Source organism: Homo sapiens, chromosome 1 (assembly GCF_000001405.40).
Source record: "Homo sapiens chromosome 1, GRCh38.p14 Primary Assembly".
Taxonomy (NCBI): Eukaryota; Metazoa; Chordata; class Mammalia; order Primates; family Hominidae; genus Homo; species Homo sapiens.
In genome coordinates, this window is record NC_000001.11 from 8,944,881 (window position 1) to 8,961,376 (window position 16,496).

At 48.7% G+C, this 16,496-nt stretch overlaps 1 protein-coding gene across 6 annotated transcripts in view; it reads left to right on the forward strand.

Annotated features, from left to right (window-relative positions):
- Positions 988–16,496, forward strand: part of CA6 (carbonic anhydrase 6) — a 29,225-nt gene continuing 13,716 nt past the window's right edge. For 4 of the 6 annotated variants that reach the window (NM_001215.4, XM_011542084.4, NM_001270500.2 and 1 more), the window contains exons 1-4: positions 988–1,085; positions 4,383–4,562; positions 12,257–12,405; positions 14,030–14,122. In NM_001215.4, coding sequence (NP_001206.2) covers positions 1,007–1,085; positions 4,383–4,562; positions 12,257–12,405; positions 14,030–14,122 — 501 coding nt within the window. In that variant the 5' untranslated portion in view covers positions 988–1,006. The remainder of the gene's footprint in view (positions 1,086–4,382; positions 4,563–12,256; positions 12,406–14,029; positions 14,123–16,496) is intronic. The other 2 variants (NM_001270501.2, NM_001270502.2) reach the window with 2 other exon arrangements.

Sequence of the window (16,496 nt, forward strand, 5' to 3'; positions counted from 1 at the left end):
CTTGTTGTGAAGGCCTGCTGACGTTTGCCATTCCAGGACCAAGTGGACAATGAGTTAAGCTAGGCCAGGAGGGGGTTCAGCTCCCCATAACAAGGCAGGGGTGGCCCTTTGTGTCCGGCAGCATGGTAGCCCCCCCGCAGGAGCTCCGGCTACCCTTTGTGTTTGACCTTGTGGAAGGGCATGGGAAATGCTGGCCTGTCAGCAGGCATAAACTCAAAAGTTTCTCCTTCAGCTAATTTCAGGGACTGTCTAGCCAAGTGAATACACAGGATTAGGTAATCCATGGATCCTGCGAGGGCAATTGGCTGATTGGCTTAGGTGTGCCCAAGAGCCCTGCAGGTGTCAGAACAAATCCATGTAGAAATGCAGACGCCCACACCAGCTTGAATGGCATAAAGGCACACATTGGAATGTGGCTCATGAGCTGGGACCCAGGATCAACCACTGGTTTAAGGAGAGGACCGTGAAATGTCCAAACATGGAGGCCAGGCCACCTCCCTGGATGCCTGGCTGAGGGCAGCCACATGTCTGCAGCGGTGGCTTGTGTCCATGACTGAGATGGGCAGGGTTTGCAGGCAGTGGTGATCCCATCAGCAGTCCCCAGATCTCTAATGTCAGGAGAAAGAGCATGGGAAGTCCGACGTCCAGGAAAGTCTTTCATCCTGCTTCTCCCTGCCTTGGGCCTTTTCCCATTTCCGCGGTCACCTGTCCACAATGGCTGCACTGTGTGGCTCTTCAGGTGTTCCTAAGACACTGAACAACCAAACCCATGGACTGACCGGATATGAAATTGACGTGGGAGGAGATCAGGCAGGTGCTGGGGCTGCCTGGCGCAATGCACGGAGCCAGAAGTGCTGTTATGGGGAGGGTGTTATTGTTTTAGTGGGTGCAGCAAAGGGTGGTTTAGCCAGCTGGGCAGATCAATTGTAAATTGTTATTTACAGTTTCTGAGCCTTTAAAAGAAGAGCTTCGCCGGAATCAGTCTTCATTACAGATGTGCAGCACCATGAGGGCCCTGGTGCTTCTGCTGTCCCTGTTCCTGCTGGGTGGCCAGGCCCAGCATGTGTCTGACTGGACCTACTCAGGTGAGCCCCTAGCTTCTGCATGCTCCCCCAGTTACCCTCACACCCTTACAACAGGACAAGTGCCCTTCTTCTTCTTCTTTTTTTTTTTTTTAGACAAAGTCTTGCTCTGTTGCCCAGGCTTGAGTACAGTAGTGTGATGTTGGCTCACTGCAACCTCCGCCTCCCGGGTTCAAGTGATTCTGCTGCCTTAGCCTCCCGAGTACCTGGGATTACAGGTGCCTGCCACCATGCCTGGCTAATTTTTGTATTTTTAGTAGAGACAGGGTTTCACCATGTTGTCCAGGCTGGTCTCGAACTCCTGACCTTAGGTGATCTGCCCATCTCCCAAAGTGCTGGGATTACAGGCATGAGCCATTGCGCCCGGCCAAGAGTCCTCCTTTAGGGCATTTCACAGGATGGCCAGGCAGCCCACTTGCCATATGTTGGGGGTCTGCTCATTGTGGCTTCAGATGTTACCTTTTCAGTGTCTCAGAAGGTATGGAGAATAAGCTGAACTTAAACTTCAAATAAGGAAAAGAAGGAAATAGCTTTCCCCTTCACAAACTCCTGATTTACTTACAGGCTTTTTGCTTTAAATTTTTTTCCATCCACAGTGTTGGCTGGTTCAAAAGCACACTCACTGCTTCTATTTGTAAAACCATTTGCTTTGTTGGTCCGTGTAAGTGGAAAACAAAGTTCTTAGAAAAGACTCTCGGTAACCTCACGGAAGGTGCTGTGGGGTTTGCGAGACCTTCTTTCTTGGAAATTTCATGGTAGGCAGTTTACCCAGAACATCTTGACATAAGGACCCAGTTCCCTTTGATCTGTGGGCTGCCAAAATGAGAGGTGTTTTTTTTTTTGTTTTTTTTTTTTTTTTGAGACAGAGTCTTGCTCTGTTGCCCAGGCTGGAGTTCAGTGGTGCCATCTCGGCTTACTGCAACCTCTGCCTCCTGGTTTCAAGCGATTCTCATGTCTTAGCCTCCCAAGTAGCTGGGATTACAGGCACTCATCACCATGCCTGGCTAACTTTTGTATTTTTAGTGGAGATGGGGTTTTACCACGTTGGCCAGGCTGTTCTCAAACTTCTGACCTCAAGTGATCCGCCCACCTTAGCCTCCCAAAGTGCTGGGATTACAGGCGTGAGCCACCGCGCCAGGCCCCAAACCAGACTTTTAAAATGTGAAATGTAAAATCCTGGCATTCAACATGGGTTCTGGTCCACATGTGAGCCAAAGCTAGAAGGCCGTGTCTGTGGACTTTGTGGACACTAAACAGCCCTTTCCAGGGGCAGTGAGGAGAGCTTCTTCCCGCATCCCCCTTCTTTCCATACGGGACCATGGATTGGGGCCCATGAGGAGGCTGGTGGCCGCTGGCTGATGCAGGAAGTGAGACAAACATCTGCTTCCTGCAGAGTCTGCCCCAGTTCAGCTGCTCCGGAAGCATTCCTTCAGGGTGAACGGGATGATCTGTTAAGTCAAGGGCAACGGAATTAGGGACATCCTGGGAGGTTCAGAAAGTCCAGCCAGCTCTGAACAACCGCTCTGTTCCTGAGGACAGTGATCTTACACATGGCAGTGCCTCGGAAGCCTGGGGCATTCTGCTTCACTTGGCCAAGCAGTGCAGGCAGGTGGTTCAGAGGTGAAGGAAGAGAGAATTCAGACAATGAAGTCCTTGTCCTTCCCAGGCTCTGCCCAGCCTCTGAGACAGTGGGCTTCCTGGGAAACTACTAGGGGCTCCAGGAGAACTTGAGAGTAGCTTTTGTAAATGCCTTCCAGGGAAACCTGAGAGATGTTCCAGTATTGACAGTGCCCTGGGCCAAAGCATCTTGCTCTGAGAAGGCGTTGTGCTCCAGGCCAATTGCCTTGATTACAAACCAAAAAGCGGTGAGGGCCCTAGTACAGACACCTTTTTTTTTTTTTTTGAGAGTTTCACTCTCGTTGCCCAGGCTGGAGTGCAGTGGCGCGATCTCGGCTCACCGCAACCTCTGCCTCCTGGGTTCAAGTGATTCTCCTGCCTTAGCCTCTCAAGTAGCTGGGATTAACGGCATGTGCCACCATGCCCGGCTGATTGTTTTTTATTTTTAGTAGAGATGGAGTTTCTCCAGGTTTGTCAGGGTGGGTCTCGAGCTCCCAACCTTAGGTGATCCACCCGCCTCGGCCTCCCAAAGTGTTGGGATTACAGGCATGAGCCACCGTGCCCAGCCACAAACACCTGTCTTAAAACAAGCTGTGTACTCACCACACAGCTACCCCCGAACAGGGAACAGAGGTGGGATTCTCCATGTCACATGGCTGACTCCAAGCTCCACAGCTGTATGGGAGCCAAGTCACCATGATAATCACTCACCTATGTTACTCTGTCCCCTACGATTATCAACCCTCTCTGAAAAGATAAACTTTCTCCTTATGAATTTTAAAAAAGTACTCATTCTAGGTTGTCCTGGAACCTGATGCTTCCTTAGTTTCCCTGAATCCATAAGTGTAGACACCTAGATGGTCTTTACCATACGGGAATCCATAAAAGGGGCTGGAGCAAGAAAATAGTGGTGGGGGGTTCCTGCAGCATGGGGAGGTGGGGGCTGTGTTCCTGTTGGGGGCATGGAAGGACAACTGGGCCCTTGGGAGGAAATGAGGAAGAGGCCCCAGGAGCAGCACAGGAAGAGCAAAGCCAAGGATCCCTCCATGCATTCACCAGCTGGAAATAAGTCAAACGAGAGCAAAAATTTACGTATAAAACACTCTCAGGCCGGGCACGGTGGCTCACGCCTGTAATCCCAGCACTTTGGGAGGCCAAGGTGGGTGGATCACCTGAGGTCAGGAGTTAGAGATCAGCCTGGCCAACATGGTGAAACCCCGTCTCTACTAAAAATACAAAAATTAGCCAGGCGTGGTGGTGCATGCCTGTAATCCCAGCTACTCCGGAGGCTGATGCCGGATAATCTCTTGAATCTGGGAGGCAGAGGTTGCAGTGAGCCAAGATTGCACCACTGCACTCCAACCTGGGTGACACAGCGAGACCCTGTCTCAAAAAAAAAAAAAAAAGACTTCCATTGATTTCAAAACACTGTCTTGCTCCCAGGGCCAGCAGTTGCCACAGGAAAGTTAGAGGTTAGCACCAAAGCCCCCCAAACACCAGAGTCCTTGGAGTTGACCTCGTTGTCTTTTTGGCCTCCTTCTGGGGGACCTGCTTCTGCTTTCTGGAAGGTGCCTCCGTGGGTCCCCGCCCAGCAGGCCCTGGCCTCTGGCCTCTGGCCTGGTGAGGTTCCTCCAGAGTGGGCGCAGCCAGGCAGCCCCTTGAACTGTGTCTTTCCTGTCTTAGAAGGGGCACTGGACGAAGCGCACTGGCCACAGCACTACCCCGCCTGTGGGGGCCAGAGACAGTCGCCTATCAACCTACAGAGGACGAAGGTGCGGTACAACCCCTCCTTGAAGGGGCTCAATATGACAGGCTATGAGACCCAGGCAGGGGAGTTCCCCATGGTCAACAATGGCCACACAGGTAAGAGGAAGGGGTGGTGAGGGGCTCCAGTCCATGGGCAGCCTGCAGGGGAAGGCAGGTTACACGTGTCCCTGCCAGGAATGGCTTGCACAGAGACACAGAGCACGGCCTCAGAGCTGGAGGCCTCGAACATGAGGGTCGAACATGAGGGCTGACTGGCCCCGAAACCTAGTGGCTCTTCCAGAGAGGGCAGCATCCATCTTTCGACTCAACTCCCTGCTGGTCCCTTCCTGCAGCGTTATCCTCTTACCCGAGCTCACCCAACCCACCCAGCAGGTGACAGGCAGGACAGGCCGTGCTGCTGAAGCCACCCTTCCCACGGGGGCTTTCTGTCCATCACCTTGGGTCAGCTTTTCCACATTTCCTATATTGAGTCTATTCAGCTCAAAGCACCTGACAGGTAGGACCAGGGTTTCTCAGAGTTTTAAGAAGAAAGCTCTGGCTTTCTGATCCCTACAAGAAAGAAGGTGAAGGTCAGACAGAAAAAGCAGGGCCGTGGGGATGCCCCACTTCAGGAATCCGATATGAGAAACTGTAAATTTTGTTTATTTTTTTGAGACAGAGTCTCACTCTGTTGCCCAGGCTGGAGTGCAGTGGCAGGATCTCAGCTCACTGCAACCTCCACCTCCTGGGTTCAAGCGATTCTCCTGCCTCAGCCTCCTGAGTAGCTGGGATTACAGGCATGCACCACCATGCCCAGCTAATTTTTTTTGTATTTTTAGTAGAGACGAGGTTTCACCATGTTGGCCAGGCTGGTCTGGAACTCCTGACCTCAAGTTATCTGCCCACCTTAGCCTCCCCAAAGTGCTGGGATTACAGGCACGAGCCACCATGCCCGGCCTGGAAACTGTGAAATCTGTGCTTTACTTGTGCAGAATATCCTCCTGATTTTCCAAGTTGGCTCGACTCCTCTGAGCCTCATGACCACCCCAGGAGGGGGCATTTTTTAGGCAGGAAGTCTGAGGCCTCAGGAGGTCGAGGGACTCACCCAAGGCCACACACTGTCTAATGGCCAAGATGGGCTCACACCCCCAGTTGTCAGGTTTCTTGGCCACATCCTCCTTAGGTTCTGCACTCTCTCACTCCTGCTTGGGTTGAGATACATCCCTGCCTGCCACACAGCGATAGGACAGTCACTGGACTTGGCCAGGCATGGTGGCTCATGCCTGTAAACCCAGTACTTTAGGAGGCTGAGGTGGGAGGATCACTTGATGCCAGAGTTTGAGACCAACCTGGGCAACTTGGTGAGACTTCATCTCTACAAAAAATCAAAACATTAGCCAGGAGTGGTGGTGAGTGCCTGTAGTCCCAGCTACTCGGGAGGCTGAGGTGGGAGGATCACTTGAGCCTGGGAGGTCAAGGTTGTGGTGAGCCGAGATTACCACTGTACTCCACCCTGGGCAACAGAGCGAGACCGTTTCTTTAAAATAAAAAAATAAAAGGGTCACAGGACTTAGTGTTCTTATCTTGCACAATCAAGAAAATAAAACCAGCCTGGTGAGGTGGTTCATGCCTGTAATCCCAGCACTTTGGGAGCCCGAGGCAGGCAGATCACCTGAGGTCAGGAGTTCGAGACTAGCCTGGCCAACATGGTGAAACCTTGTCTCTACTAAAAACACAAAAATTGGTTGGGCGTGGTGGCGCATGCCTGTAATCCCAGCTACTCGGGAGGCTGAGGCAGGAGAATCACTTGAACTCAGGAGGCAGAGGTTGCAGTGAGCCAAGATCGTGCCATTGCACCCCAGCCTGGGCAACAAGAGCAAAACTCCATCTCAAAGAAAAAAAAAAAAAGAAAGAAAGAAAACCAATTGTCCTTTATAGGGTTGGTGAAAGTAGCAAATTGGAGAATGAAGCTCTGTCTGTAAAAGGACTCAGGTTTATGTGGCCAGGAGCCCTGAAATACACAAAGAATGAACAAAAGCCTCATTTTCATCATAATGTCGAGCTCTTGTTTCCAAAGTTACTCTCTGATGCTTCCAGATTGGCAGGCGGAACTCTTCCTCCCCTCCTTGTCCTCTCCTTGTGGAGAAGGGGCGAAGCACAAAGGCCAAAGGCAGTGGCTTTGTTCACCCTCCCTGGACAGCTGGTGGGAAGCAATCATTGATGGAGGATCTCTATGGGCAACGCTTGCTGAGTGCGGGCTTCGTGCTGAGGGCCCAGAAGAGGGAAGGCATATGGAAGAGAAGAGCCCAGCTTCCCAAGGGGCTTGCAGCGGCTCCCGCCTCCCAATTTCCAGAGGACCCTGTACCTTCTTCCTTTAGGGCTCTGCTCAAATTTCTGTGGTCCGGAAGCCTGTTCCTTTGGGGTTCTCACCTCACACGACAGCATGTCGGACATTAGAGTGGACCCAAAGTTCACATTAATTATATATATATTAAAAACAATTTTTTTTTTTGAGATGGAGTCTTGCTCTGTCACCCCGGCTGGAGTGCAGTGGTGCAATCTTGGCTCACTGAAACCTCCACTTCCCAGATTCAAGCAATTCTCCTGCCTCAGCTTCCCTGGTACCTGGGACTACAGGCATGTGCCACCACGCCCAGCTAATTTTTGTATTTTTAGTAGAGATGCGGTTTTGTCATACTGGCCAGTCTGGTCTCGAACTCCTTGCCTCAAGTGCTCTGCCCACCTTGGCCTCCCAAAGTGCTAGGATTACAGGCACGAGCCACCAAGGCTGGCCATAATTCCATTTTTCGATGTAAAGGGTTTTTTTCTGAGATGGAGTCTCACTCTGTCACCCAGGCTGGAATGCAGTGGCATGATCTTGGCTCACTGCAACCTCTGCCTCCTAGGGTCAAGCAATTCTCATGCCTCAGCCTCCTGAGTAGATGGGACTACAGGCGCACACCACCACCCCCAGCTAATTTTTGTATTTTTTGTAGAGATGGGGTTTCAGCATGTTGGCCTGGCTGGTCTCGAACTCCTGACCTCAAGTGATCCGCCCACCTTGGCCTCCCAAAGTGTTGAGATTATATGCATAAGCCACCGTGCCCAGCCTGATATAAAGTATTTTGAAAGATTTTTATAATTTAGCTTTTGAAGTTATTTGGCTATTGCCATTGGCTACTTTTCAGCAAGCTCCAAGCACATTCAGGAATTCTACTGAAGGGGGAAAAAAAGCTAATCTACAAACTTTGAATCTAATGAGATTTTGATGAACACTAAGCTTAACAGTAAAGTTGACATGACGTATTAAAGATTTGTTAATTTTTGGTTTTGCAAGGTTCTTTTATTTGAGACGAAGTCGTGCCCTGTAGCCCAGGCTGGAGTGCGGTGGCGCGATCTCGGCTCACTGCAACCTCCGCCTCCCGGGTTCAATCAATTCTCCTGCCTCAGCCTCCTCAGTAGCTGGGATTACAGGCATGTGCCACCACGCCTGGCTAATTTTTGTATTTCTAGTACAGACAGGGTGTCACCATGTTGGCCAGGCTGGTCTCAAACTCCTGACCTCAAGTCATCCGCCCACTTCGGCCTCCCAAAGTGCTGGGATTACAGGCATGAGCCACCATGCCCAGTCAGGTTTTGAAAGGTTTCTAATCACATGTATCGAGCAATCATTTCAGTGTCATGAAAATCCTGTGTTCCACCTGTTCATCTTTCCCTTCCTTCCTAAACCCTGGCAATCACTGATCTTTTTATTTGACCTATAGTTTTTCCTCTTCCAAAATGTCATATGGTTGGAATCACACAGCATGTAGCCTTTTCACATTGGCTTCTTTCACTTAGCAATATGCATTTAAGTTTCCTCCATGTCTTTTCATGGCTTGATAGCTCATTTCTTTTCAGTGCTGAATATTCTATTGCCTGGATGAACCAGTTTATCCATTCACCTATCCAAAGACATCCGGGCTGCTTCTCAGTTTTGGCAGTTATGAATAAAGCTGTTATAAAACCCATATGCAGGCCAGGCATGGTGGCTCATGCCTGTAACCCCAGCACTTTGGGAGGCCAAGGTGGGAGGATCACTTGAACCCAGGAATTTGAGACCAGCCTGGGCAATGTAGTGAGACCTACGAAAGTAATAAAAAAATTAGCCTGGCATGGTGGCTCAAACATACAGTCCTGGCTACATAGGAGGTTGAGGTGCGAGGCTCACTTGAGCAGCTTGGGAGGTCAAGGCTGCAGTGAGCTATGATTGCACCACTGCACTCCAGCCTGGGTGACAGAGCAAGACCTTCTCTCAATCAATCAATCAATCAGTCAATCAATCAATCAATCAATTCCATGTGTAGGTTTGTGTGTTTTCAGTCCATGTGGGTAATTACCAAGAGCTTGCTTGATCGTATAGTAATGTCAGAGGCGTTTGAACCAGAGTGACCCCATCTTGAATAGGGGGTGGGTAAGATAAGGTTGAGACCTACTGGACTGCACTCCCAGGAGGTTAAGGCATTCTCAGTCACAGGATGAGATAGGAGGTTGGCACAAGATACAGGTCATAAAGCTTGCTGATAAAACAGGTTGCAGTAAAGAAGCCTGACAAATCCTACCAAAATCAAGATGGCCACGAGAGTGACCTCCAGTTGTCCTCACTGCTACAGTCCCACTAGTGCTATGACAGTTTACATATGACATGGCAACGTCAGGAAGTTACCCTATGTGGTCTAAAAAGGGGAGGCATGAATAATACACCCCTTGTTTAGCATATAATTAAGACATAACCATAAAAACGGGCAACCAGCTGCCCTTGGGGCTGCTCTGCCTGTGGAGCAGCCATTCTTTATTCCACTACTTCCGTTTTTTTTTTTTTTTGGAGACAGAATCTTGCTCTGAGGCTGGAGTGCAGTGGTGCTACCTTGGCTCCCTGCAACCTCTGCCTCCTGGTTCAAGTGATTCTCGTGCCTCAGCCTCCCAAGTAGCTGGGTTTACAGGCATGCACCACCATGCTCCATTAAGTTTTATAATTTTAGTAAAGACGGGGTTTCGCCATGTCGGCCAGGCTGGTCTTGAACTCCTGACCTCAAGTGATCTGCCTGCTTCGGCCTCCCAAAGTGCTGGGATTACAGGTGTGAGGCACTGCGCCTGGCCTATTCCTTTATTTTCTTAATAAACTTGCTTTCACTTTATTCTGTGGACTCACCCCAAATTCTTTCTTGTGTGAGATCCAAGAACCCTCTCTTGGGGTCTGGATTGGGACCGGTTTTTGGTAACATATAGACCAAGTTGGAAATAATTGACATTGAGATAGTATTAAGTCTTCCTATCTGTGAACATGGAATATTTCTCCACTTATTTAGTTCTTCCTGATTTATTTCATTAGTTTTGTGATTTTCCTTATATAGATTTTGTCCATATTTTTGGGTTATTTTTGTATTTTTAGTAGAGACGAGGTTTCGCCATGTTGGCTAGGTTGGTCTTGAACCCCTGACCTCAGGTGATCTGCCTGCCTTGGCCTCCTAAATTGCTAGGATTACAGGTGTGAGCTGCCGGGCCTGGCCTCCTCATTTTAAAATTAAATTTAAATTAGATTCAACATTTCAATAAAGAGAAATTCAAATTGAAACACAGGCTGTTGAAACAAAGACAAGTTGCTACAAAATTTCTAAAATGAACTCCCAATTTCTCTGTTTTGGTGCAGACTAGTAACAGTTGGTGGGCCGGCACTGATCCATTAATATATATTGCCCAGGTGCCGGCACTGATCCATTAATATATATTGCCCAGGTGCCGTGGCTCACCTATAATCCCAGCACTTTGAGAGGCCAAGGCAGGTGGATTGCTTGAGCCCAGGAGTTTCAGACCAGCCTGGGCAACATGGTGAAATTCTGTCTCTACAAATAAACTTAAAAATTAGCTGGACATGGTGGTGTGTGCCTGTAGTCCCTGCTACTTGAGGGGCTGAGGCAGGAGGATTGTTTGAGCCTGGGAGGTCGAGGCTGCAGTGAGCTGAGGTCATGCCACTGCACTCCAGGCTGGGTGACAGAGTAAGACCCTGCCTCAATTAAAATCTTTTTTAAAAAGCACAGTAACAGGCTCAGGGTTGTGGCTCTTTTCCAATTGGGCCTGTGTGGGCCTGTCAGTGTAACCAGAAGTAACACATTCCGTCTCCCGGGAGCTGTGTTTTGGGGAAATTGTGAGGACCTCTCTCATTTCTCCTGTGGTGCTTACTGTCCATTTAGGGAGCTCTGCTCGGGTCCTCAGCTCCTCGGCTCCCGTCTGCTTTCAGCATCACTGACCTTGCACGCCTCCTTTTAAGGCCCTTCCACGCCTCCTTTTAAGGCCCTTCCGTCCTTTTCTTGCAAGCATTGATTTTTGAGGCCAGCTACATCTCAAGCTCTAAATACAGAGCATTTGTTCTGCCAAACAGCCGGTGAAAACCTTTCAGGCCGGATTACTGCATTATAGCACATTACGTTATGAATTTAATCATAGCTCCCCGCTCCTTTAGACAATTTGGAAAGAAAGAGGGGGCACGTGACAGGTTTTAAATACCTCATATTTGCTATCTTTTAAGAAAATGTTCTTGTTTACAGCCACCATTGATGACTTTAAATAGGAAGATCTTGCCAGGCGCAGTGGCTCGCGCCTATAATCCCAGCACTCTGGGAGGCTGAGGAGGTTGGATCACTTGAGGTCAGGAGTTCGAGACCAGCCTGGCCAATATGGTGAAACCCTGTCTCTACTAAAAATACAAAAATTAGCCGGGCATGGTGGCATATGCCTGTAATCCCAGCTACTGGGGAGGCTGAGGCAGGAGAATTGCTTGAACCCAGGAGGCGGAGGTTGCAGTGAGCCTAGATCATGCCACTGCACTCCAGCCTGGGTGACAGAGTAAGACTCTGTCTCAAAATAAATAAATAGGAAGATCTTGCTCATGAGACACATGCTGCCTTTCCAACGCCGAAATTATATCCTCATAGATATTTTTCTTAGTCACTTTTCTTAGTAACTGAGCCCGTTTTTTTCTTTTTGTGTAGTTCATTCCAAAAGGCAGAGATTTCAGCTGGGCGTGGTGGCTCATGCCTGTAATCCCAACACTTTGGGAGGCTGAGGCAGGTGGATCACTTGAGGTCAGGAGTTCGAGACCAGCGTAACCAATATGGTGAAACACTGTCTCTACTAAAAACACAAAAATTAGCCAGGCATGGTGGCGGGCACCTGTAGTTCCAGCTACTCGGGAGGCTGAGGTGATAGGATCCCTTGAAGCCAGGAGTTGGAGGCTGCAGTGAGTTGCTGCAGCAAGTCATCGTGGTGCCACTGCACTCCAGCCTGAGCAACAGAGTGAGCATGAAAAAAAACAAAGAAAAGAAAACAGTTCTAAGAGGCCCCACTTCCTATTCTTATACCTTCGGCAAATTCCAAACTTGGCCAGAGATAGAGAGTAGAATTCTAGTTTCCAAGCCCATTGGCCATAATTTTTCAGGACCTTCCCTTTCCCTGGGGCCAGCAAGCTGGACCTGCCACTGTGTGGTCCTGCCTCTGGCCTGTTGGTTCTGGGCGGGAAGGAGCGTGCTGGGGAGAGGCACTTGCCCAGCCTGGTTTACTTAGTGCCTGGCCTCCATCCTGACCTCACCCTGTGCCCTGTGCGCAAACGCCTCTTCTCCTTTGGTGACCCTGCCCATGGCATTCTAAGCCAGTCTATGGTATTGGCTTGCCCTGGGCTCAGACAGGTGGGAGGTGAGCAGAGAAGCTACCCAGCCTGTAGGCCTGACCCCTCTGTGTTCACCTACTCTGCTCTCAGCCCCACCTTGTCTCTCCAGTGCAGATCAGCCTGCCCTCCACCATGCGCATGACAGTGGCTGACGGCACTGTATACATAGCCCAGCAGATGCACTTTCACTGGGGAGGTGCGTCCTCGGAGATCAGCGGCTCTGAGCACACCGTGGACGGGATCAGACATGTGATCGAGGTACCTGAGGACCCCCACTGTGTCCTCTTTCCTTTGAACCCCATAGTCACTTTTCTTTTTATTTATTTATTTTGAGACAGAGTCTCGCTCTGTTGCCCCGGCTGGAGTGCAGTGGCACAATCTCAGCTCACTGCAACCTCCGCCTTCTGGGTTCAAGCAATTCTCCTGCCTTAGTCTCCCGAGTAAATGGGATTACAGGCACCCGCCACCATGCCCTACTAAGTTTTGTATTTTTAGTAGAGACGGGATTTCACCATTTTGGCCAGGCTGGTCTCGAACTCTTGACTTCAGGTGATCCACCCGCCTTGGCCTCCCAAAGTGCTGGGATTATAGGCGTGAGCCACAGTGCCCAGCCGTCACTTTTCTTATTAAAATAGCCAAGGCCAGGTGCACTGGCTCACGCCTGTAATTCCATCACTTTGGGAGGCCAAGGCAGGGGAATTGCTTGAGCCCAGGAGTTGTAGATCAGCCTGGGCAATGTAGCGAGATCTTGTGTCTACAAAAAAAAAAAAAAAAAAAAAAATTAGCCAGGAGTGGTGGTACACGCCTATAGTTCCAGCTTCTGAGGAGGCTGAGGTGGGAGGATCGCTTGAGGCCAGCAGGCTGAGGCTGCAGTAAGTCCTGATCATGCCGCTGCACTCCAGTCTGAGCAACAAAACAAACAAACAAAAACAGCCAAAAGACTGTGCGATGGTAGCAGTTAAGTCATGCTGAAGTTGAGTTTATTTTTTATTCACTCAGCAACTATTGACAGATCACCACTTTGTGACAGGGGTTCAGGCAAGGTCCTGCCCTCACAGGACTCAGGTTGGCAGGACTTCACAGCCCACAGGGTGTGGCAAGCCCTCCTTTGTTTCAGCTGGATTTCTATGTGTTAGATTTTCTTTTTTTTTGTTTCTTGAGACAGAGTTTTGCTCTTTTGCCCAGGCTGGAGTGAAGTGGCATGATCTTGGCTCACTGCAACCTCCGTTCCCTGGGTTCAAATGATTCTCCTGCCTCACCCACCCGAGAAGCTGGGATTACAGGCACCTGCCACCATGGCCGGCTAATTTTTGTACTTTTAGTAGAGACGGGGTTTCGCCATGTTGGTCAGGCTGGTCTCAAACTCCTGACCTCAAGTGATCCACCCGCCTCGGCCTCCCAAAGTGCTGGGATTACAGGCATGAGCCACTGTGCCTGGACTGTGTTAGATTTTCTGAGTTACCTCTTTTGCCAGAATCCATCCATAGGATGACTACATGTTAACAATGGTTGCCTGGGACAAGGGGCGCAAGCTCACTCTCCCTGCAAAGCCCCCAGACACTCCAGGAGAACCCACTGTCCTCATGTGATCCCTTCAGACTCTGCCAGCTTGTCTGCCTGGAGGGAGGTGTGGTCGGGAAATGGCCTCGAACTGCCATCTTCCAGAATCCCACTCTTGCTCTTTCCATTCTTGGGGAAGTTTCTGCTCTTGATAGATAGGAATTGCAGCCCAGATGGAGAGAGATGGAGGTCCAAGTTGCTTGTGTGGAACAGTCTGAGGCCTCAGACGGAGCACCTTTCTTTCTCTTCCTCCTTCCCTGGAAATCTTAAGCATTTGAATTTCTATGAACTGCCCTTGACCCACTCTACCTTGCTCTTACAGATTCACATTGTTCACTACAATTCTAAATACAAGAGCTATGATATAGCCCAAGATGCGCCGGATGGTTTGGCTGTACTGGCAGCCTTCGTTGAGGTAAGCAGAAACTACCCATGTGTGTCTGTATTTGAAGTTATAGGTTGATGTCCAAACAAGGTGTGAAGTCTAGTTGAACAGTCTTCTTTATTATCACTCTTCATCTTTTCCTGAGCTCACAGTTCTTGGAAACATTGACTCGATGGAAGATCACTGTGCTCCTTCCGTGCTGTCAATCTCCGGACCTTGGTTAACGTGGACAAGCTGACTTAAAAGAGCTGGAATCCCAGAGGGGTTGCGTAGACACAAATTGTTCGAAGGGCAAGGGGAAACCTGCAACTCAGTCAGACAAAGGCAACACCTCTGCATTTCCTTTTTTTTTTTTTTTTGAGACGAAGTTTCACTCTTGTCACCCAGGTTGGAGTGCAGTGGCACAATCTCGGCTCACTGCAATCTCCACCTCCCAGGTTCAAATGATTCTCCTGCCTCAGCCTCCCAAGTAGCTGGGATTACAGGCACCTGCCACCACGTCTGGCTAATTTTTGTATTTTTAGTAGAGACGGGTTTCACTATGTTGACCAGGCTGGTTGTGAACTCCTGACCTCAGGTGATCCCCCTACCTCAGCCTCCCAAAGTGCTGGGATTACAGGCATGAGCCACCAGGCCCAGTCAACACCTCTGCATTTCTAAGAAAGTCTAGATGGTGGGGCCGGGCGTGGTGGCTCACATCTGTAATCCTAGCACTTTGGGAGGCCAAGGTGGATGGATCACTTGGGGTCAGGAGTTCAAGACCAGGCTGACCAACATGGCAAGACCCCATCTCTACTACAAATACAAAAATTAGCTGGGCATGGTGGCAGGCGCCTGTAATTCCAGCTACTTGGGAGGCTGAGGCAGGAGAATCACTTGAACCCGGGAGGTGGAGGTTGCAGTGAGCCGAGATCGTGCTACTGCACTCCAGCGTGGGCAATAAAGCTAGATTCTATCTCAAAAAAAAAAAAAAAAAAAGCTGGGCGCGATGGCTCATGCCTGTAATCCCAGCACTTTGGGAGGCTGAGGCAGATGGATCACCTGAGGTCAGGAATTCAAGACCAGCCTGACCAACATGGGGAAACCCCATCTCTACTAAAAATACAAAAGTAGCCAGGCGTGGTGACGCACGCCTGTAATCCCAGCTACTTAGGAGGCTGAGGCAGGAGAACTACTCGAACCCAAGAGGCAGAGGCTGCAGTGAGCCAAGATAATGCCACTACACTCCAGCCTGGATGACAGAGCGAGACTCCGTCTCAAAAAAAAAAAAAAAGTCGGGCATGCAAAGAAATAGGAAAATGTAATCCATATTTAGGAGGAAAAAATAACTCAAAACAATCTATAGAAACTGACCTGAGTGGACCCAGAGTGATTAAGCAGACAGGACTTTAAAACAACTATCAATGCTGTGGCTGGGAGAAAAATTAAAAAAAAAAAACAACTATCATAAATGTTTGAAGAATGAAAGGAAACTATGTTCAAAGAATTGAAGGAAAATATGATGACAATGACTCAAAAAAGGAATCTCAATGGAGAAATAGAAACTTTAAAGATGCACCAAATGGAAAGTCTAGAGTTGAAAAGTACAATAAACAAAATGGAAAAAGAATCACTAGATGGGCCCAAAGCAGATCTGAGGCAGCAGAAGAAAAAAAGAATCAGTGCATTTGAAGATAGAGCAATGAAATTATCCAATCTGAAAAACAGAGAAAAAAGACAGAAGAAAAATGAACAGCCTTGCAGACTCATGGGGACAAAATCAAGTATAGCAACACACACACACACACACACACACACACACACACACACACACACACATATATATAATGGGAGTCCCAGAAGGAAAGGAGAGAGAGAAAGTGGAAGAAAAACATGAAACAAAACAAAACAATGGCCCAAAAGCCTCAAATCTGAGGAAAAACATAAATTTATCAATCCAAGAAACTAAAAATACCCCAAGTCTGATAAATAAACCCCAAGTCTAGATACATCAAAAATCAAACTGTTGAAAGCAGCAAGAGAAAAGGGATTTATTATATGTAGGGGAATGACAGTACAATTAATGGCTGACTTTTCAAGTCATCAGAACACAGTGGAATGACTGTCAATCAAGAATTCTATATCCAATAAACCACCCTTCAAAAATGAAGGTGAAACAACACATTCCCAGATATACGAAAACCAGTATAATTGCTAGCCGGTCTATCTTACAAGTCATATATAAGGATGCTTTTCTGGCTGAAAGAAAATAATACCAGACGGTTAACTCCGATCCACAGAAAGAAGTGAAGAGTACTGGAAATGGAGAATAGAAAAGACTACATACATATATTTTTTGTGTTTTCTTCTTTTAATTTCTTTTTAAAAACCATCAAGATTATTTAAAGCAATGACTATACCACTG